Here is a 21,014-nt window from a genome sequence, read left to right on the forward strand (position 1 = left end):
TTGTCATACTACCTGATTGGTGAGGATGCTAATATAATACCTGCCCCCTGATAGTGTTACGATGATTAAATGGGGTGGGTGGATATTTAAGTATGTGACACACAGTAAGTGCTCAGTCATGCCAGTTCCATCCCCAGCTGCTGCTCCTTTGAAATAAAACAGTTGAATTTCCAGCAATGTGTCTTTTCTGGAATCAAACTTGAAGCATCATAATTGTTCACGGAAGAGATGAAAGACCTTTAACTTTGTTTTGTAACGCTGAATAAAGACCTACTTGGCCACAACTTCAAACACAAGTAAAAATAAAATAAAATAATGGATCTTTTCTGAAGTGAGATCCTTTGATTCTTTATTCCCAACCTAGGCTTAGGAAACAACAGTTTTTGGTTTTATGGGCAGATGCCAAGAAGTTGACAAACATTTCCCATTAAATAGTTTAAATTACTTTCCATGAAAAATACTCACAAAATATTTTGGAGATTTAAAATGAGGAGGGGCTTTCTATAAAATCAAAAAGTTGCTGGATCACTGCTCTGAGTATTACGTCTCTAAAAGACAGTAATAATAAAATTAATGGATGAAAGCACACCTCTTGCAGCTTTGATTAAATTGTTGCTTTTGTTCACAAAACATAAATATCTATATAACATATAAATGTGTATGTGGGAGTATGCATGCATATGTATTAACAAAAGGAAGCCTAGTGGGTTTATTAAGTGAAATAGAGCACCAAAGAAGTTGTGCCTTTTGCCATATGTTAGCAATTGTTATTTCTTTGTTGTTTTATCATTTGCTTTCATTTTTAAATGAATTTCCTTTTTTTAACAAAAGGCAAAGTCCTTAGTTAGAAATTATGTAAAAACAGAGGCCTGAATGTGAGGGTCATGCTTTGCTGATTCAGACCCAGAAGTGAATAGTTTGTTTTAGGGTAGATTGAGGATTTAAAGCATCTGGGAGAAAGCATTTAAGGAGAAACATTTAACAGCTGCTGAAACTGAGATATGAATACCATGTAAACAAGCTGAGAAAACACAACCTTTGTACATTAAAAAGCACAATTTTTTCATCTGCAAGTTATGTGTTGTTTTTGTTTTGGTTGAGATATATATATAGTCAATGACCAATGCTGCATAACTAAGATATATTTTCCTGTAGATCCTTATTAATCAAAGTGTGATCCATTGACCACCATCATCAGCATCTGCTGGAGCCTATTAGGAATGCAGAATACCAGGCCCCATCACAGACCAGTTACTGAATTGGAATCTGCATTGTAACAAACTTCTCAGGTGACTTATGGGCCCATTGTAAATTTTGAGAAGCCCCATTGTGAAAAACCAAAACTATTTGACTTCCCATTTCATTCAAGGTCCCCCTTCACACCTATACATCCTGTTTGAGGTAAGTATTATACTAAGAGCTTTACCTAGGGAGAAGTTTTAAAATAAGAATATGAGACCCTACTGTAAATAATGTAATGTAATTCATCTCATACAGGGTCTGAGCAAGTTTTTTTTAAAATCTCCCCTGATAAATCAAATGTGACACCAAGGTTGAAAACAATTACATTATCTTACTTAATTCTTAACTTCAAACATCAAGGTGTGCATTATTACATCACAGAGGAACTTGCTCATGATAGCAAAACCTAGATTTAAAGTTGGGTCTGTCTGACTTCAAAGATTTTCTCTTGCGTTTTATACCCATCAATATGTTGGAGGGTTTTAGACCAGTAGCTACTTCCCAACTTCCCATTGTGTGATTACCCCAACATGCAGCATTGTATGGGAAAGCCTAGAGGGGCAGGGCAGAAGAGTGAACATCAAGAACCTTAAGGCTAGGCAAGACTGGGATGGAAAGATGAAGAGTGGTGAAACTGTTTCTCCAGAAAATCAGATCAGCCCCTCTCCTGAGCCAATTGCGATTATAAATGAGCAAATGGACTGATGAACCACAGGGGGATCTGCATGTCAACAGACTCTGTCACAAACTGAATTAAGCAAATGGGCTTAGAAGAGACATGCAAGAGTGTTTACAATAGTACTGTGGGCACAGCTCTCAGGCCAAGGAACCTAACCTTTGTGGACTGCTCTATCACTACTGTCCCATCACCACATATGGTCACCATACTTGTAAGCAGGAGATATCCTGAAATCTGGTTCTCCCTACATAGGATGACCAGCCAGAGGCCGATGGGTGGAATGTTCCCACAGAGTCAGAGAGGATGTGAGTCATGCCTTCTTACATCATTTAAGCAAGGCTTGTGTAGATTTTTAAAGCATTTACCATAAATGGATCCCCTCATCACCATCTGTTCACTTTTGGTACAGGAAATATTATAAGACCATTCTTGTCATATGGATTTTCATTTAGTAGTTTTGAAAAGGATTTCTCTGATCTTTTGAGATATATACAAATAAGTAAAAAGAAGTGGACATTTTCTTTTACAAATTATACTCGGAATAGTGTTAAGTTACTCTCTTTGACAGATGGCTCAATTCCAGGGACTAGCTCTCCCTCAGGGAGCACTGAAAATCCTAGTATAATCCTAAGATATGAGTGTTGACTTTAAAATTCTGATTTAACTGACAGATGTATGAAATGGCACATAGAAAACTCCCCATTGGGGATAATGAAAATGCTAGAGTAACAGTTACGTTATAGGAGAATGGCAATGATATAATCTCACTCGTTTTCTCGTTTTATGTGATCCATTTTCTGATGCTGAAATTTATTTTTGTGAAACATAAGATTGTACTCACATTTCTATATGCCTGTTTTTAAAATGTCAAAATTACACAGACTTCAGGGTCTGTCTTTTGGGAAAAACTGACATATAAATAAACCTTACTTCTGTGCAAAAAAAACAAACAAAAAAAAAAAAAAACAGACATTTCTTTCAATCATAAATGGCAAGTGTTCTACCTTTGAACTATGGATATATCAACCTTAAATCAAAACAATTTTTGAAAAGAAAAACACAGTGATGAGAAAAATCATAATGGTTAAACATGTTTATGTAAATAATTAGCTCCTTTTATTTTGAAATAGGTACATTGTCTCCTAACTTCTGATTCGCTCAGTGCCACATTAATAAAAGGTCACAATGTTTTAAAATGCTAAGATTTTAGCATTATATCAGGACTAGAGATGAATTTAAAAAACTGAGTTTGCATATATGAAGAAAAACTTTAGGTTTGATTTGGAGACTCTCTGCCTGAATTTACAGCTCTGAAAAATCTGCTATTTCTAATCAGCGATAAACCTCCTCTCCCTTGACTCATGGAACTTTGTTTTCACTGAGTCTAGAGGCGTTAGTATCAGTTGCAAAATGTCCTGGAAGAGGGATTTAGAGATCCTGAATGGTCTGCGCCTGCTTCTGCTAAACATCTCAGAGACACTCTGCCCCCTGGTGGATTGTTCCAGGGTGGGTTTCGATTAACAGTGCAGACTTCCCTTCTCCCACCCTTTCTCTACCTCGAGTAGATGCCCCAGTTGAAAGCCTTTATCCCCACCAATTACACATTCCTTTGGTTCAACAATTCCCTTTTAGATAATGTGAAAACCCTTAATTACTTAATCAGCCCTTCACAGTTAAAACAAGAACCATAAACATCATTATTGGTTATCATGATTTGATACAGGTAAGAAAAAAGTAGAGAAGTGAAAAATGAGGTGCTGCAAATTAAAAATGTGGATGTGGCCAGGGACTTTGGATTCTAGAAAGACAGCCAGAAATCTCTAGACAAGGAAGAGGAAGAGGGTTTAAAAGTGAATAAAAGGACGCTATAAGAAATAATTAAACATTTGGCAATTTCTTCTTGGCCGATAGAGCCACCGCAAACCATCCTTCATGTTCCCTTTTGTTCTTTGGGGTGTATGTCACCTGCATAGGGGATTAGTTGTAAAAGGCTGTAAAGCTCAGTCGCTTCTAGTTTTTGCCAAGTTTTTCCCATTCAGGCTAGTTTGATCTTCTCCAGTCCAACTTCTCCCAAGTACCCCTGTTCTGTGCTACAGGCACTCTGCATCCACAAAGGAGACAATGGGAAATAATGGCTAAGAGGAAGTCCTGTCTGCTGAGAGCCAAAAAAGTGTCAGGCATCTCAATAAGTGCTTTACATGTATAGGTTCTAGGCCTTCACATCAACTTGTAAGTAGACAGTATTTGAGAAAAAGAACCACATATTTCTAACATACTTTATTTGCAATTCAAACCTAGGACTGACTACAAAAGCTACCTTTCTGCCTACTTCACTGGTCTTAAGATAGGTCAGTCTACTCCTCTTAAGTCTTCTTCTAACCCAGTTCCTCCTGTATTTTAAGCACCATACAGTCCTTGGAATCTCACTACCTAGCCTAGAGACTAAAGGTCCCCTCTAAAAACTAATCTGGAAAACTCTTGTGATAGTGGATCTAACCCTCTCTCTTTGCAGAATAGGAAAGCACAACCCATTTCTTTCCTTTCAAATTCTTCCTTCAGATATAAACTAAATCCCCCAAGTCATGGCAGCACATATCAGGCAGCCACAGTATCATTTACTATTAGTCATTCTCTCATGAAGGGTCAAACTCCTAAACACAACCCCAGAATCCAAGGAACCAATCTTTCCATAATAATAGAACTACTACCCGACGCTTTTTAGAACACAAAAGGACTTTTATTTATTTTCCTAAATTTCATTTCCAATGATACATTTCCTGAAAGATGGAATACCAAAGGCAATTTTCAGTCACAGCAACTCCATCAAATACACATAATCTGATATTTTACTGCTTCAGTGAATTATAATCTTCTCAGGGTTTCCTGGTTAAAGAAGACAAAACTAAGATAATAGAGAGGAAAAGTTAAGAATATTGTTCTTTAGAAAATTTGTTGAACTCAATAAACATTCATTCATGGGTGTAGTGTCCATTTTTAAAAGGAAACTCTAAAATTCCTAGAAACACAAGACAATACTGGTAATATTGAGTGAGTATACATTCATATATTTCTGTGAAAATTTGTGCAATTAAACAATATGGAAAATGTTGTTTATTACCACAGCCAATGAAAATATATTTCCATTGCTATGTAAGTTAAACATTTCCATCTCCCGCTTCATGTTCTGCAAAAAAGCCATGTGCCTAGTTTATGAAATAAACTATGCTATAGGCAACAGTAACTGAAAAGGAGCTTAACAGTCTTAACTACATACCCCTGGGATGAATACTACACTTTGCATAATCATGTGCAATGCTGAATGATGATTCTATATCTCTTATAACTATAAGGGTTTGCAAGCTTCTATTTCATACAATATGCCCCAAATCCAGGCAATACAGCCAAATAGTCAAGCAATAATTTAGGTGGTTAATCTACAAAATGGCAAACAACCCATTCGACTAAACTGATTGTGTTTTGTTAATGTGAGGACACCATCATTGCAGGTACCCTATAAAGAAATCATTTGAAAGTGGCTATTTGTTTCAATTAATGTTTCCCCCTAAGGCTCTTAGAAGTTGACTTAATTGCCTCTTAGGACCAAAGAAAATACAACTGTATAAACAGAAGACCACAGTATTAATAACATAAAAACAAACACCACGCTCTATGCACATTCCTCCATAGGAGAAATATCACAAAAAGCAAACAAAGAAACTTGGGATCCAGCAGAAGTATAGGCAAATCTAATGCCTAAAATTTTCTCTCACACCAGTGACAGGTATAAATATTGATCAAAACTCCCCTTTTTAGTTAGCTTATGTGTGAATCTTTGAATAGTATATTTTCAAGAGTGATTACTCAAGGTGAAGGTCTGCACAGTAGGCAAGCAGTGTACTTCAGCTCAATGTATTTATTGTCTGACAAACAGGACTGGGGAGTTTCAAGCAAGGAGTGAATCCATTTCACAAAGACAACTTGCTTCTGCAGACAAAAGGTATCAACTGCAGAATGCCCTCTGAGGAAAGGAGTGTGAATTTTCTTTGGCATGTTAAATGCTGTACATATACATTTTTTTCCGTGCAGATAATCCCTCAGGGCTACTTCTTATTAAAATATACATTTTTTTCATATTTTATTTCATGACTTTATCCTGTATTAGGGAGCTCTCAGAGGAAATTTGAAATAACTAAGTATTCTTGAAATTTGAAAAGACTGATAAATTTAAAGTATTCCAGATATTATATTAATTGAGATATCAGGTTGGTAACAAATTTACAAAGGTCAAAAGCTTGCCAGTTTCCTGATTGTTAGTAAGTCTGAGGTTTGGTTCTGCAATTTTTTCTTTTTTAAACAAACAAAAAACAAGACAAAAACAGGCTCAATTTTAGTTTCTCTAAGCTTTTCTAAAGTTCTTATATGTCATTTTCTAGCAATCTTTTCTCCTGCCCAAACTTCAATAACAACAACAACAAAAAAGAAACAAGTTTATTTTCTTTTCAATATCGTTTTTAGGGCCCTTAACTGTATTTTTAAGGTTTCTGGAGAAGGAAGATAGTTCTCTTGGTTTCTTTATATGTTAGCACACAAGGAATCACAGATGGGAAGGAGAGTGCAAATGACTATCAGATAAAAGTTTCATGCATTTTAAGATTTTTTTACAAGTCAAAATATACATCCTCCTATTGCCCCCACCCCATTCCTCAATTGTGTAAGAACTATCCCCATGTCATCAGTCTCCTTCACATCTCACTAAATTGGATAAGAAATAAAGACACTTTTCTTGTTAAGAAACAGTATATTTCCAATACTAATCGGTTTTACCAATTGCATTAGTAAGAAATATAGCAGCAGTGTGGGCTGAGTCACCCATCATACCCTTCATTTATGGGGATTTAAATGTGTAAAGTGACAGGTACATGAAATTAAGAGAAAAAATAAAGCAGTCTGCAGACTTCGGCACTAGCACACATAATGGTTTGTTTGTTAGAGTTGTGGCTTGACAATCGCTAAACAGGAATTACAAAATTGTAAATCTGCAGAAAACAAACAATCATAGGTGTTGATTCTCAGTTTAACACTCCTCATCTCCCATTCCCACCCACCCACCCCCATATAGTTTCAAGTATAATAAAAATAGAGATCTCAGCATCAGAATTTTGCTGTTAACTCTTCAAGGTTTCTCTGCGCCATCCAAGCCACACATAGGGTTTGAAGCACCAAATCCACAAGTTTCTCCAACCAAGTTTAAATAGACAAAAAGTGAAGACTGAATGATGCCAAAGTAACTGTTCTTAAATTAAGCTGTAACACAAAGTTCTCCCCCCAAAAACACAGGGCATTAAGCGTCTAGTTCAAGTACTGCCAGGCTGTATGTAGATCTGTCTCAGACAGGCTTCAGACAACAATTACAAGTACACTGCTTCTAGTGGGCATTATCCACGATACCAAAGCAGGGCAGGGATTCCCTTCCATTATCAATTTTTAAAAGTTGCAACCCCCTTTGGGATTGGCTGCCGCAGGGTCAGTGCTGAGCCCGGGGCTTGAGGGGAGGAAGTGAGCCTCCTCCTGGGCAGGGAAGCTCTACATTTAGTTTCAACACTTCTCCTTTCAGAGCTCTCTCTCAGGACTATTCTGGCTTCTCAGGATCCATTGCCCTTGCCCAGGAGAGAGAGCCTCGCTGGGACCCAGAAACCGCGAAAGAAGATTCGACCTACCTGTGGAACCAGACACAACTTGGTCCCCAAAGGTCGCTTAGGCGACCCCACTGCAAACGGCAAGTCAACTTGTGCACTTAAAACGTATCAGTTTATGGAATGCTTGTTTAAAGTCCTCATTGGACATGGTATAGATTATGGGGTTGATGAGGGAGTTGAGATAGCCCAGCCATGTGAAGAAGTCAAAGATGGCTAGGTGGAACCAGCAGGCATCTTTGCAGATAGGCATCACTAGGGAGATGATGAAGAAGGGTAGCCAACACACAATAAAGGCTCCCAAAATGATCCCTAGGGTCTTGGTGGCTTTGCGCTCCCTAGCGGCCATGAGTTTCTTCTTTTCCAGCAGGGCGTCGGAGACTCGCACTTTGACTTGGTTCACATACACAGGAGATCCGGATTCGCTGGGCACGTCGGGAACCCGCGAGTTAATAGAGGTGACCGAGGACGTGGACCCGGGGGAGTCGGTTATCAGCTGGGCTCGGGTCAAGCGCTTGCCGGTCCTGTTGGGCGTCTGTTTCAAAATCCGGGAGCGGGCTTCTACGTAGATGCGGCCATAGAGGGCGATGAGGAGCAGGGTGGGGAAGTAGAAAGCACCCACCGTGGAGTAGACCGTGTAGAGGATGTGGTCGGTGTTCACCACGCATTCCGACACCTCCTCTTCGGCCTTAGCCTGACGCCAGAAGAAGGGCGGCAGCGAGATAGAGATGGAGAAGACCCACACCAGCGCGATCATGACCGCCGCCCTCTTGGGAGTCCTTTTAGCTGAGTACTCCACGGCGTCCGTGATGGCCCAGTAGCGGTCCAGGGCGATGACACAGAGGTGCAGGATGGAGGCAGTGCAACAAGTGATGTCCGACGACAGCCAGAAGTCACAGACCACCTGGCCCAGTGTCCAGCGGCCGGTGACAGTGTACATGGTGCTGATGGGCATCACCAGGATGGACACAAGCAGGTCGGTGACCGCCAGAGAGGCGATCAGGTAGTTAGCCGGGGTGTGCAGTTTCCGGGTCCGGTACACTGTGGCAATCACAAAGGCATTGGAGAGCGTGGTGGCCAAGGTGATGAGCGCCAATAGCATAACCAGCAGTACTTTCCAGGGTAGGGAGATGGAGTCCTGGTAAATGTAGTCCTTGGCGCTGCAGTTTTGGGAGGGAGCAGAGGATAAGTTGGCTTGAGGAACCCAGGTCTCGGAGCCCGCGGGCGGCGGTGGAGCGCACTGAGCACCCGGTTCCTCCATGGCTCTCCTCGCCCCAGCTCCGGAGCGCAGCTCTTGGGCATGGAGCGGACGAAGGAGAGGGCGGAAGGACCGTGGCGATCGCAGGTTTGTCCCCAGTTGATAGTTCCGTGAGTTCCTCAATTATTCCTCCGCCCAGGTTCACAGCTGAAACTAGAGGTCATGGGTGCGGCAGCCAAGGCAGGCGGGCGCCTCCCCTGCACTTCCAGAGCGCCTAGCTAAGCCGCCGCGTCTGTGGTTGTTCCTCTCCACACCGGGTCTTAGACCTGGGTTGCTAAGAGCTGGCCCACCGAGCCCTGCTCCGCTCCAGCTCCCTGGAGGCGTCTAGTGCAGGAGGGTGAAGTACTGCTTGAGGAGAAGGCTTTGACCAAATGGGATCTCTTACCCCAGTTGCTTGAGGCTGAGCGTCTCCTAACCTGGACGCTTTTGGATCTGCAGACTTTGCCCACAGGAGTTTCCTAGGTGTAGAGACCAAAGCTTGCAGGCCAGCGAGAGGTCCCGAGATCTTGCATTCCCACCCCTCGCCCCAAGCTGGGGCACTTTTGGGGGGCTGCAGCGGCCGCCAGAGCTGGGTGGGGTGAAGTCTAGGAGCAGCGCTGCGCCGCGCCTCGCGCCGGAGCTCTGCCCTCCCTCTCTTTTCACTCTCTGGCCACTCGGACGAGCTGCCCCGCGGAGACGGAGCCATAAAAGGGGGGACACGGGGGCTGGAGTTGCGGCTGCTCGGGCCGCGCCGCCGCCACCGCCACCCTGGTCCCACGGGAGCCACTCGGAGCCATGCCACTGGGTGCGCGGGTCTGGAGGACCTGGCGCGGCACACTGGGAAGGGGCAGGTGTCTGGGGGAGCTGGAGGGACGCGGCGTGCACCAGCCCGGGAGAAGCGTGCGAGCTACGGAGCAGATGGGCTCTTTATATAGAGTCCAGGTCCGGTCCGCCAGAGCAGTGCAACTCGTGCGGCGCGGCGGGTGCGGACGCCCGCTCCCCATCACCTTCCCTTTTTCTCTCTCCCTCCCTCTTTTCCCCCCGCCCTGTTCCTTTCCTGGCCAAGGAAGCTCCCGCCGGGTCCTACCGCCCTATCTCCCCGCTTCCCACCCTGGGCCATCCTCCCAGCCCTGACAACCTGGAGCTGCATTTCTGGTCAGGGGAAGAAGGCGTCCTGTTCTCGCCTCTACGGACATCAGAGCTTGCTGCGCTGACCTCCAGTGAGACCCATGTCCTTAGCCATGGTCACAGGTTTAGTCCAGCAGTCTGGCCCTAGGCTCCTGCCTACCACTCCCACCCTAGGAGGCCAGTGTTAGGCGGGGAAGCCCTGGTCTCTGACCTCTCCGCTCTAAAATCATATCCAGCCCTGATGGCCACACCCAGGTTAGGAGGCACCAGTAATATCGCTGTAGAGGGCCCAATGTTTGCATTTTGTACTTTGCCGTCCTTAACTCTTGATACAATAAAAACTATTTTTTCATCTAGTTTTAGAAATTTGTGTTTTTCACTCAACTATGAGTCAACAGGGAAAAAGACAAGCTATCTGCGAAAATGTAAAAGTTATCACAAACAGAAGCCAACTGTATGTGAAATTAAACCTTCTGCTCCACCATCCTCTTCCAGCTGCTCAGTGCTTCAGTGCCTCTGGAAAACAGTTGCCAGTAAGCGTGTTCCTTCCAACAGCCTACCTAGAAAGGAGGTCATCAGAATTCAAGAAAAAAGGGGGATGGTGGGGCGGGGAGGACTGGAACCATCATCAGCACCATCTTGTGTGTCTCCTTTGCCTTCAACTAATATGTGGGAATGTCAGCCATAAGCTGCAGCATGCAATACCAGTACCTAGGTCTCATGACCAGGGACGGATCCCCTGTCCTCAGTTTCTCCTCTGACCTCAACAGAAACAAATGTAGGGTAGAGATGCAAATCAGAAAGTATGAAGAAAAGCTCCAGGAAAGGACAAGGTATTTTCAGCTCGAAGGATTAAATGATCCCCACTACGAATTCCTAGAGCCTAGATCCATGTTTGGCACCTAGAGTGTATCTAATAAAAACTGCATTGTAAATGAATTCATCTGTTTAAGCGCACATATATTTTAAAGAGAATCATTCTGTGTCAGAACCTAAGGCTATCTGATCTGATCCCTCCACCCAGTTTTAGAGGAAGAGTAATTGAGATCCTTTGAAAGAAGAGCTTTTTACCCAAGGCAATAAAGCACAAACCCAAGTTCCCTTAATTCCCGGTTCTCTAAACCAGGCAAGCAGGCAAAAAATAGAGTGCCTACTCTATGCTGAGTATTTTTCTAGGCATCCGAGGTATGGAGGCCAGTGGGAGTAGACTCAGACCCTCTTTTCCAGCAGTTTACATTCTAGAAGAGACAGACAATAACTACATGAACAAGTAAATAATTAATACTTATACTTTTCTGTAGTGTTAAGTGTTTTGAAGAAAAACACACATACACACATGCATGCATTGAGAGTGAGGGTACTCCTTTAACTAAGGTGGCAGCTCTTCAAGGACGTCCTCTAGATGCGGTCTGGGCTGCAGCAGCCACCCTGAGGATAAAAGCACAGCCTTCTCTCTTTTTCTCCTCCAGTCCTAGCACCTAGCATTTTGCCACCAACCTTAAGCCTCATTTTCACCACATTTTAAGGGATCCTTCCCATTCTCCCACCCCATCCACCTAGATAAACAATTATTTTTGTCAACTGCAGCGCTCACTTAGAAACCATAGAAGAGGGAAGCAAAGCCGGCGAGTTTAAACCGCTAGGTGGGGGCATTGGCCAGGACGGATCAAAAGTGTGTGCGATTGCGGGTGTGTCCTGTGGGAGTGCGGGGTGCCAGGAAACAATTTTCCCGTTATCCTAGGAGAACTGGAAACGATTAGAGACAAGTGTTAAAGGGATGGGAAGCGGGGGAAGGCCGACAGGAATGTAACCAGCTCCATGCGACCTTTCCTCTTTTAATTTCTGCTCGGGAGCATGGGACGGAGAAAAAACAAAGCAAAATTTGTTCCCCACACGGTTTTTGGCTTTAGCGGTTTGGGGACCTGTGGCTTTCTCCAGCCATGCCTCCACTGCTTCGCAGAGTCCCAGACTCCCAGAGGAATCCGCCCCTTGTAGGCAGTTTGATTTTACCCTCTTTGGTAAAGAGCTGCTTAAACACACACCGCCATCATATTGACCGGATGTTGGCAGAGTTCAGTGAAGAACCCCATTTCCTTAACCTGACTTCCGCATTTCAAGTATTCCTTTCTCACTTTAAAACACATAAAACATAGGTGTTTGCACAGAGGCGCATGTGTGTGAAACACCCAAGAGAGAAAGAGACCCTGTAAAGTCGCCTGTGCCTGGGTCACCCCTTCGGAGTAGGGGTCGCTGGGTAAGGTCCAAGTGCCAGCTCTGCAGTCCCCAGCGGCGCTAGAAGGAACCTCCAGGCAAGTTTTGGGGGAAATTCACCTGACAGGGGAGGAGCAGAGAGGGAATCAGTAGCGGAAGGGAAAGGGTGGAGATGGATTACCTGAGCGCAGCAAAACTTAGTTGAGTAGAAATAAGCTCCCGTATGAACACCGGGCACTAAAACTGCGAATTAATGTGGTTCCCTTATTATCAATTCCACGCACGTGTACGTTTGGCAGAAGCTGAGTAAGTGGAGAATAACTCTGGAACTGAAATGAAGTCAGTGAACCGACACAAAACCAGATCCTAGCGGTGAGCTGGCTGCGGAGGAACCAAAGAAAAATGAATCCTCGAGGAACCCTCTCCCATGCTAGGAAGATGTAGTTCTACAGCTGCAGCACCAAATTCGAGGCGCAGGCTGGGAAGTTTAAAGCGCAGCGCTAACCAGACTGGACACTGTCAAGGGAAGCATACTCTGCCTACAGCAACCACAAGAGATATCTCACGGAATTTATTGCAACTCAACTCTATGTAAGCTGGCAGTCAGCTAACCTTAGTCAGCCCTAGCCAGCTCTCTTGCCTGCGGCGACTGAGTCTTGCTTTCAGCATCCCTAGAGTCTTCCATCCAGAGAGTAACTATTGAAAGAGGTCCAGGCCCAGGAGCAAAGAAAGTCCTGATTTTATCTTTGCTTTGCTGAAAGAAAAACGTTAGAACACTCATGCGCCTGTCACTTTTCTCCTTTGATACAGGAAAATACAACCCCGCACTCACCATCCCACTGCTTGAGAAATCTGGTGTGGAGGCCTGTCTTGCTGCTTCTTTCAAATTCTGCTTCCTCCATCTATGGCCAGCATATATATATATATTTTCACTTCAGAAACGGGCAGCAGGAGACCACCAGCTCATGTGTGCACCATCCTAATGTGTGCTGGCAGCCCATTTCTAGGTTTATCTTATACTTCCTCCAGTAACTATTCCTTAAAGAACTGACTGATGGCAATGAAACTATCAGGTCCACCCAGTGACTTGGTTCTTACCATCCTTTGTGACTTCCTTGATGAAAACTATGAAAATGTTCAGATAAATGACCATATACATACATAGATATACATGTAATTTTTGCGGACAAATTCTGAGGATTTCCAAACCATATGAGGCCCAGATCCCTTTCCATATTCATTGGCCCTCACATTAGGCCTTTGACCTGATATTTGTGTCATGGTATTTACATTCCATCTGTTTTATTAGAAATTTTGAGGTCTTTCTTACCAAATAATGAAGGCAGGTGCTTTATTCCCTAAATGTTAGTTTGGTGTAACTTAATCCCTAAAAATTGGTAATTCTCCTATGTGTCTATATATGGATACAAATATCATGTAAGCCATATTTCTATTTAAGGAAGAATGCAAACAAAACTTAGAGCAAATATATATAACTTAGACATTTTTAATACCTATCTCCATATGAATAAACACTTTGCTACTTTGAACAGATACTTGCAACAAGTAACTTACTACTGGTTCAAAGATAGCCCAGATCCAACTAGAAGAGCCAGCTCCCAATTAAGATCTAATCACATATTTCCTGGCTGAAGACGTAGGTCTTCAAAAAAAAATTCTATTTTACAGCTACTATTAAGTAATGTAAGTAAGGTTACATAGAGTATGGTGTGCTGAATTTTTTTTTTCTTGGACAGAGTGAGATTTGGCAATGAGAAATATCTGAATGAAAAAACAATGCCAATAAATCCACCAAACTTACAAACAACTTGCTTTTTTAAGTTGGCAGTGTAATTAAGCAGCTCTGTTCAAGATGAAGTCTCTCTTGAAAAACCAAACCAAACAATTTGATGGTGAAGTTATCTTTCAGCCTAAGTGACGAAGCAATAGAAATGCAAAGTCTTTATTTTCAAACAAATAAAGAAAAGTCAAAACACTTATTTTGCCGAAGAAAAGCAAAATTCTTAATTTCAAACAGGAAAAATGACATCACTCTCTGGTGCTTTATTGCTTCTTTACCTGTCATTCATGAATAAGAATCATTATCCTTTATTGAACACAATATACTAAGCCATATGCTATGTATTCTACATACATTCTTACACTTATTTCTTATAACACTGAGAGTTGTCATTATCATTCTCATTTTCGGGATAAAGAAGTTGAGGCTTAGAGAATTGAAGTAATTTTGCCAATGTCAGACAGCTGGTAAGTGATAGAATCAATTTTCAAGTTCAAGTCTCTAATTTCAAGTTACAACCATTGACCAGTATTCTACACTGGATCGGCCATGCAGCTCAGCGTAGCCACCCATTTTGCTCACCTGACCATGACTTCGTTTCCTTCTGCCTGTGAGATGACGTCATTGCTCATAGCTATTTAAGTCTCCATAGTAATATTCGTTTAGACGCCTTCAAATTTTTATGTGGGGGTGAAGGTAGGGATTGGAGGTTGGGGGTGATTGTGGTAAAAATCAGGTAGAAAACTGGGCACTGTGATTATGTGTAGCTAGCTATCATTTCAAAAGTACTGTTGATAGGTGATCATATACTACATAGTTTGATGTGCACAGCCCAAATAGAAATCAAGCTAAGCTGTTCCAGATTAGTTTTGGCATAATTATATTCAGGGTGTGCTTTAATTTTTGCTGTTATCTTCCATTCTTTTTTTTTCTCTCTTCCTTCTCATTATCTTTTTCTTTATCATTAACACTTTCCCTAGGCCCATAAATATACACATTGAAATAAATAATTAATTAAAGCTTTTTAAAAATTGTAAGGATGGAATGTATTAAATACAGCGATATCCCCTGTTCTCCATATTTAACCATGTTAGTTTGAATATCAGTTACAAAAATAACCGATACAAATTAAATTGCTTTTCTTTTTTCCTAGTGTGTTGAACTTAACTGACTTTTTCCCCTTATGGATCAGGAACTCATCAAAGATAAAAAGACCTATCCCTGGTGATACACTTATTTGAATAAAGTTATTTAAAGAACATATTAGCCAAAAATCCCTGGTGTAGCATGTTCAGTTACTAAGAACAAGGCAAACACCAAAAATGTAAGCAAAAACAAATCTAAGTGCCAATGTTCTAAAACTTTTGCACTTTATGTATGGCAGAGCTCCTCCTAGCCTCATTCAGATCTTATTTCTTCTTGCCAAATATACAGTTCTAATATGTTTAGCTATATGTTTTCCAAGGCCCCTGAAGATATAAGAAATGGATGAGAAACTATGTCAGATAAGCATGTTGAATGCAGCAAGATGCCACATTTATCATCTTTATTGCAAATTGAGCCAGGAAATCTAGAGTAAAGATTAAGAAGCAAAAGCCTAAAAGAATGACAATAACAACATTATGATTTGTGTTGACCTATTTAATAATATGATATATTAACTAAGACTTTTATTACAAGTGATGGAAAACCAATTTAATCAACCTAAAAACAAAAGACAGGAATTTATTTCAAGGAGATTGGGGCTCCCTAGAGTCAAAAAAGGAATTGAACCACCAAGTTTTGGACAAAGTAGGAATGCAGCTGCATCTTGGGAAAAACCAGCATTCTGGAACGCAAGCAGAACTCTTCTTTTTCTGTTGGTTGCTGTCTGCAGGTAGATTTCTTTCATCTATTTCACTGTAGATGGGCTTTTCTCATGTTGTTAAAACATAGCCATTAACACCTTTTGACTTTACATCTTGCAGCTTCAATTATATTTTAGAAACTAATCTGAATCAGATCCACTTTAAGAAATCCTCAGAAATGGGTTCTGTTTCTGAGTAAAATGCAGGATGTCATGAAAGGTGAACATTACCAAAGTAACAACTGAAAAAGCTATAAATATAAAAAAACCATATTTTAAAAACTTTGAAGAGTGTGGAAGCAAGAATAATTAGATAAACTAAAATTCTGCAAAAGGAAATGTATTTTTTAGGTGAGTAAATGATTACTGCCTGTTTTATTTCCTTAAGGTATTTGCTGATTCTGGGAACAGATTGTGGATTGGACATGGTCCAGGCAAAGAGATTGTACTGGGGAAAAGGGAAAGAAGCAGAGCTTTCAATGATTATTGGGGTCAGGGTGATATGTGGACATTTGCTCTGTGTTGCAACTAAACAGGAGACTAGGGGATTGGGTAAGGAAATTCTAATAGGCAAATCAAATCTTTCACAGTCTTGGAGTGGTTAGAAGAAAAAGTTCCCCTATAGAGAAGGAGTCTATGTCAAATATATGACTGGTCTTCCCTTCAAGCAATTTGCAAGATTTTGAAGCTCAGTGGGGGAAATGTACAAGAGTAAAGCTCAAATTTCTGAAAGCAGTGAAGAATCTTCTGCAGTATTTCAGGACTGAGGAGAGAGAGACCTTCCAGGCTGTCAATCAAAAGCAAGGCCCAAAGAACAGGATGAATCACAGATGGACTGAGTCTAATTACAAATCAGCTTTGACTCAGCTCAGTCTCTGACCGGTTGATATAGTCAGCTCTTCATGCATTCTTCCTGACAGAGGAAACATTGAATTCTGTCTGGGCAAAATAATATTTGAAGCCTCTACAGCCCTTGTATGTACAATATCTGATTGCAATAAAAAGTATAATATATACATTGTGGAAGTAAAATTGATCAATAATTTAAAAAACCTAACAATAGGAATAAATCCATACATAATATGGATATTAGAGTTAGCATGAAAGGACTTTAAAATACAGACAGTCCCTGACTTATAATTTTTCAACTTTAAAATGGTGCGAAAGTTATACCCATTCAGTAGAAACTGTACTTTGAACAGTCAACACATAATTTTTCAACTTTAAAATGGTGTGAAAGTTATACCCATTCAGTAGAAACTGTACTTTGAATTTTGAATTTTGATCTTTTCCTGAGCTAGCAACATGTGGTACGGTAAGTGTTCCGAGCATGTTTAATGTGGGTAGGCTAGGCTAAGCTACAAGGTTTGGTAGGTTAGGTGTATTAAATGAATTTTCAAGTTATGATATTTTATCAGTTTGTAACTCCATCATAAGTCAGGAAGCATCTATAACTATTATTAATATGCTAAGGAAAATAAAGAAAAATAGTCTAAATGGACAGAAAGGTAGAACAGTTCAACAATGAATGGAAATCTTTAAAAACAAAGTCAAATAAGCACTCTAGAAATAAACATATAGTATCTGATATTAAGTACTTATTGGATGGATGCATTAGCTCACCAGACAAAGAAAAAGATAAGATTAGCAACCTCACAAAGTAATGAAAATAATTACAAAATAATTTTTAAAAGTATAAACTGAAGCATTGAGAGAAGAAAAGTGGAAAGAAAAAAACAGAATGTAAGAGTCAGACTGAGTCAGATAATCTAAAATACATGCACAGCAAGAGAATGGGAAAGAAAAAGTACTTGGAGAGATAATATCCAAAAATGTACAGACATAGTGAATACATCAAACAAACAGCACTGAAGAAACTCCAAGAACTCTAGCCAGAATAAACACTCAGAAAGCCATAGCTAAGAACATAATGATAAAACTGGTAAAAAAAATTAAAAATAAAAAAAAATCTAATGACAAATTTAAAAATTCATAAAACTGCTAGAGAAAGAGATACTTACTTTCAAAGGAGCACCAGAAAGCCTGCGGTTGACTTATTGACAGAAACTATGGAAGTCAGGAGGTAATATAATGACATCTTATCATAGCTAAAAGTTTTTTTAATCTGGCAACCTATAATTCTATACCATGAATTAATATCCTAAAAATTGGTGGTGAAATGCAGATGCTGTCAGCCAAACAACAGGTGGGGAATTTGTTGACAGCAGAACAGGACCATAAGAAATAATAAAGGAAGTTGTTCAGGCTAAATGAAAATGATACTACATGAAAGCAGAGATTTCAAGAAGGGATGAAAAGCAAAGGAGAGTGTAAACCTATGAAAAGATACAAAAATAATGTTTTCCCGGTCCTATAAAATATGCATAATTAAAATATATGCCCACAATAGCACAAAGGGCTGCTGTCCAGTATAAACAGAGTGAACGCTAGAAAATTCTTACATTGCTAAATAAGTGATAAAGGTATTTAAGTTCAGCAGAAAGACGTAAGAATCTTAGGACCATAGCTTCAAACTACACAAAACAAAATTTGATAGGACTAAAAGGAATACTAGACAAGGCCATAATCGATTTAGTTTTGAACATAATTTTCTTGTTAGCTAATAAAATAGTAAAATAGACAAAAATTTAATGAGGCTATGAAAGATTTGAACAATATACTTAATCAAGGTCAACTAAATGGCATAGAAAACATTCTATTTCTACCACTGTACAACATATATTTCTTCAAAAGCAGTTGGAACACTTACAAATATAGAATATATGCCAGACACAAAGCACATCTCAAGTGATTGATTCTTCATCAAAAAAGGTAAATAGATGACATGAAAGCATATGAAACAATGTCAGTGTAACTAACCATCACGTAAATGCAAATTAAGTCACTATAAGATACCACTATGCACCCATTATAATGCCTGCCCCAAATACTGTCAATATTAAATGCTGACAAATATGCAGAGCAACTGGAAATCTTGTTGGTTGGAATGTAAAATGGCACAGCCACTTTGCTAAACAGTTTAGCAGGTTTATTATAAAATAAAATGTACATCTACAATCCAGCAATTCTATTCCAAGTTATCTACCCAAGAGAAATGAAACTTATGTTCACACAGAAAACTGCACATGGCTTATAGTAGCTATATTTATAATTTCCAAAATTTAGAAACAACACAGATGGCTTTCAACCAATGAATGAAAAACAAACTGTAGTACATTCATACAATGGAGTACTACTCAGCAATAAGAAAGAATGAACTATTGATTCATGCAACAATGTGGATCAAACTTGAATGCATTTTTCTAAGTCAAAGAAGGCAGATCCAAAACTGTACAATTCCATTGATATGACACTGTGAAAAAGGCAAGACTACAGAGAGCAAAACAGTTGACAGTCATTACCAGCGATTGGGGTTGGGGTGAAGTCATCTGTGGAATTGCACAGAACTTCTGGTATGATGGAATGGCTTTCTATGGTACTATGGCGATGCATTTTAATATATAAAATATATATATAAAAATTTAAAGTAATCAATCAAGATATTGAGAGCAGCATGAAGCAGTTAATTGCCTAGGGAGATAGGGACGGGTCCTCAGAGAAACCTCACCTCCAAGCTGGAGACAGTTTAAAGCCTGAAAGCCAAGCTGCAAGTTAAATCCTCAGACTGGATTGTGAACTTGCCTTCCCGTTTGGCACAATTTCCTCCGATTGGCCCCCACCCTTCACTTATTTTACATATACCTACCCTTTCCCAATTGGTTTTTCTACATTGTTCTGCTCACCTTTGAGTGGTATCTTCACTTTAATCTTTTTTGCATATTCACAAACCAATCAGCATGCACCCCATTCTGAGTTTATAAAAGGCCCCAGAACCGGCCACATGGGGGACTTTCCTGCTTTTGGGTAGGGGAACCATCCCCCATGTCCCCTTTTTGCTGAGAACTTTCCTTTTGCTTAATAAATTCTACTCCACTAACTCCCCAGTGTCGAGGCACCTAATTCTTCCTAGTTGTGAGACAAGAACTCGGATCTAGCTGATCTAAGGAGCAGAAAAACCACAACATTTTGGTGGCTTGTACAGGGATACCTGGAGGGTTAGTAAATACGGACCCAAACTCTCTTTCACTTTCATTTTCAAGGCTTCTCATCCTCAGACTTTTTTCTGAAGGCAGATGAAGCACCAAACCTCGGGTGAGCCAATTAAGAACAAATGGCGCAGTTACAGAAGACAGGATGCAACCCTGCCACCTATCTCTCTCTTTCAGGTAAAAGGGATGTCGGTTTTGTTTCCCTTCAGGGAGGTCTAGCTGTTGCGTGGGACCAGAATACAGTCTTGGGGCAACTGAAAGCATCTGGCTGAGTCCACTTCTCAGTGTTGCCACAAGGCCCTTAGACTTGGCTTCCTTCCTGATCACTCATTAGGGCATTGACCAAGACTCCCAGACTTTTCTAAGGTATTTTTTCTTCCTTCTTTCATGGTTTGAAATGGCTTCTATCTCTTCTTTTATAATGTTAAGGGTGTTGCTGCAAATTGCAGAGATACTACTCCATAGAAGGAGCATTTGGCCCAGCCATCACACATGCGATTCAGAAAAATGTGATATCTGTCTGTTCCTAGAGGTGCATCCCTCCTCCCACCCTAATGGCCACAGGCACACGAGGCAGATGGATGGGTGAGCAGTGGCTGCCCACTTACCCCCCCACTCCCAGCTGGGGCGCATGGTCATGTCCGCCGTGTGCACATGCTACATCCAATGACCATGCAGGGCAGGAGTGTATCGCAGCCACTGCCCAGGCCCCAGGGTGGTCTCAGGGGCCAGAGGCCCCACGCAGCTTACTGGCAGTGTTTCCCGGTCACCACCGCCTCCTGCCACGCACCCGTGGAGTCTTTCCTAACCTAGTCCAGCTCATTCTGAACTAGAAAAAGGGCACAGTAATTAAGAACTCCTCTTCCTGTTGGAGGAACCAATTTGGACAGTGCAAGAGAGTTTCTTCCCCAGGCACCTTACCCGTCCTGCACTTAAGCTGTTTTTTTTGTTTTTTTCCTTCTCCACCATGTCGAGAGTTAACACAGCCCTGCAAATACAGGGAGCTTTTCTATGTGAGAGTTTTTTTTTTTCTTTTGAACGGTGTTTTACTAGGCCAGGGCCCCAATT

At 41.0% G+C, this 21,014-nt stretch overlaps 2 protein-coding genes across 6 annotated transcripts in view, besides 3 other annotated features; one reads left to right on the forward strand and one right to left on the reverse strand.

The window, feature by feature from the left end:
• LOC105377864 (uncharacterized) overlaps positions 1-21,014 on the forward strand; it is an 82,536-nt gene that overhangs the window by 50,925 nt on the left and 10,597 nt on the right. Inside the window, exons 1-3 of one of the 5 annotated variants that reach the window (XM_047419659.1) lie at positions 7,507-8,072; positions 8,308-16,188; positions 19,998-20,123. The gene's annotated coding sequence lies outside the window, so the exon portion shown is untranslated. The other 4 variants (XM_047419661.1, XM_047419658.1, XM_047419660.1 and 1 more) reach the window with 4 other exon arrangements.
• HTR1B (5-hydroxytryptamine receptor 1B) lies at positions 6,396-8,963 on the reverse strand. Its single transcript, NM_000863.3, has one exon. The coding sequence runs from the start codon at positions 8,873-8,875 to the stop codon at positions 7,703-7,705; it is 1,173 nt and encodes a 390-aa protein (NP_000854.1). The 5' UTR covers positions 8,876-8,963; the 3' UTR covers positions 6,396-7,702.
• Positions 7,829-7,973: a silencer, noted in NCBI's record as "fragment chr6:78172074-78172218 (GRCh37/hg19 assembly coordinates)". NCBI's record gives its function as "represses an EF-1alpha promoter that drives an FKBP-Casp9 reporter gene in an ReSE screen in HepG2 liver carcinoma cells {active_cell/tissue: HepG2}" and the evidence as "EXISTENCE:reporter gene assay evidence [ECO:0000049][PMID:32094911]".
• Positions 11,693-11,742: an enhancer, noted in NCBI's record as "active region_24763". NCBI's record gives its function as "activates an Ori minimal core promoter by ATAC-STARR-seq in GM12878 lymphoblastoid cells {active_cell/tissue: GM12878}" and the evidence as "EXISTENCE:reporter gene assay evidence [ECO:0000049][PMID:35858748]".
• Positions 11,953-12,012: an enhancer, noted in NCBI's record as "active region_24764". NCBI's record gives its function as "activates an Ori minimal core promoter by ATAC-STARR-seq in GM12878 lymphoblastoid cells {active_cell/tissue: GM12878}" and the evidence as "EXISTENCE:reporter gene assay evidence [ECO:0000049][PMID:35858748]".

This window comes from Homo sapiens, chromosome 6 (assembly GCF_000001405.40).
Source record: "Homo sapiens chromosome 6, GRCh38.p14 Primary Assembly".
Taxonomy (NCBI): Eukaryota; Metazoa; Chordata; class Mammalia; order Primates; family Hominidae; genus Homo; species Homo sapiens.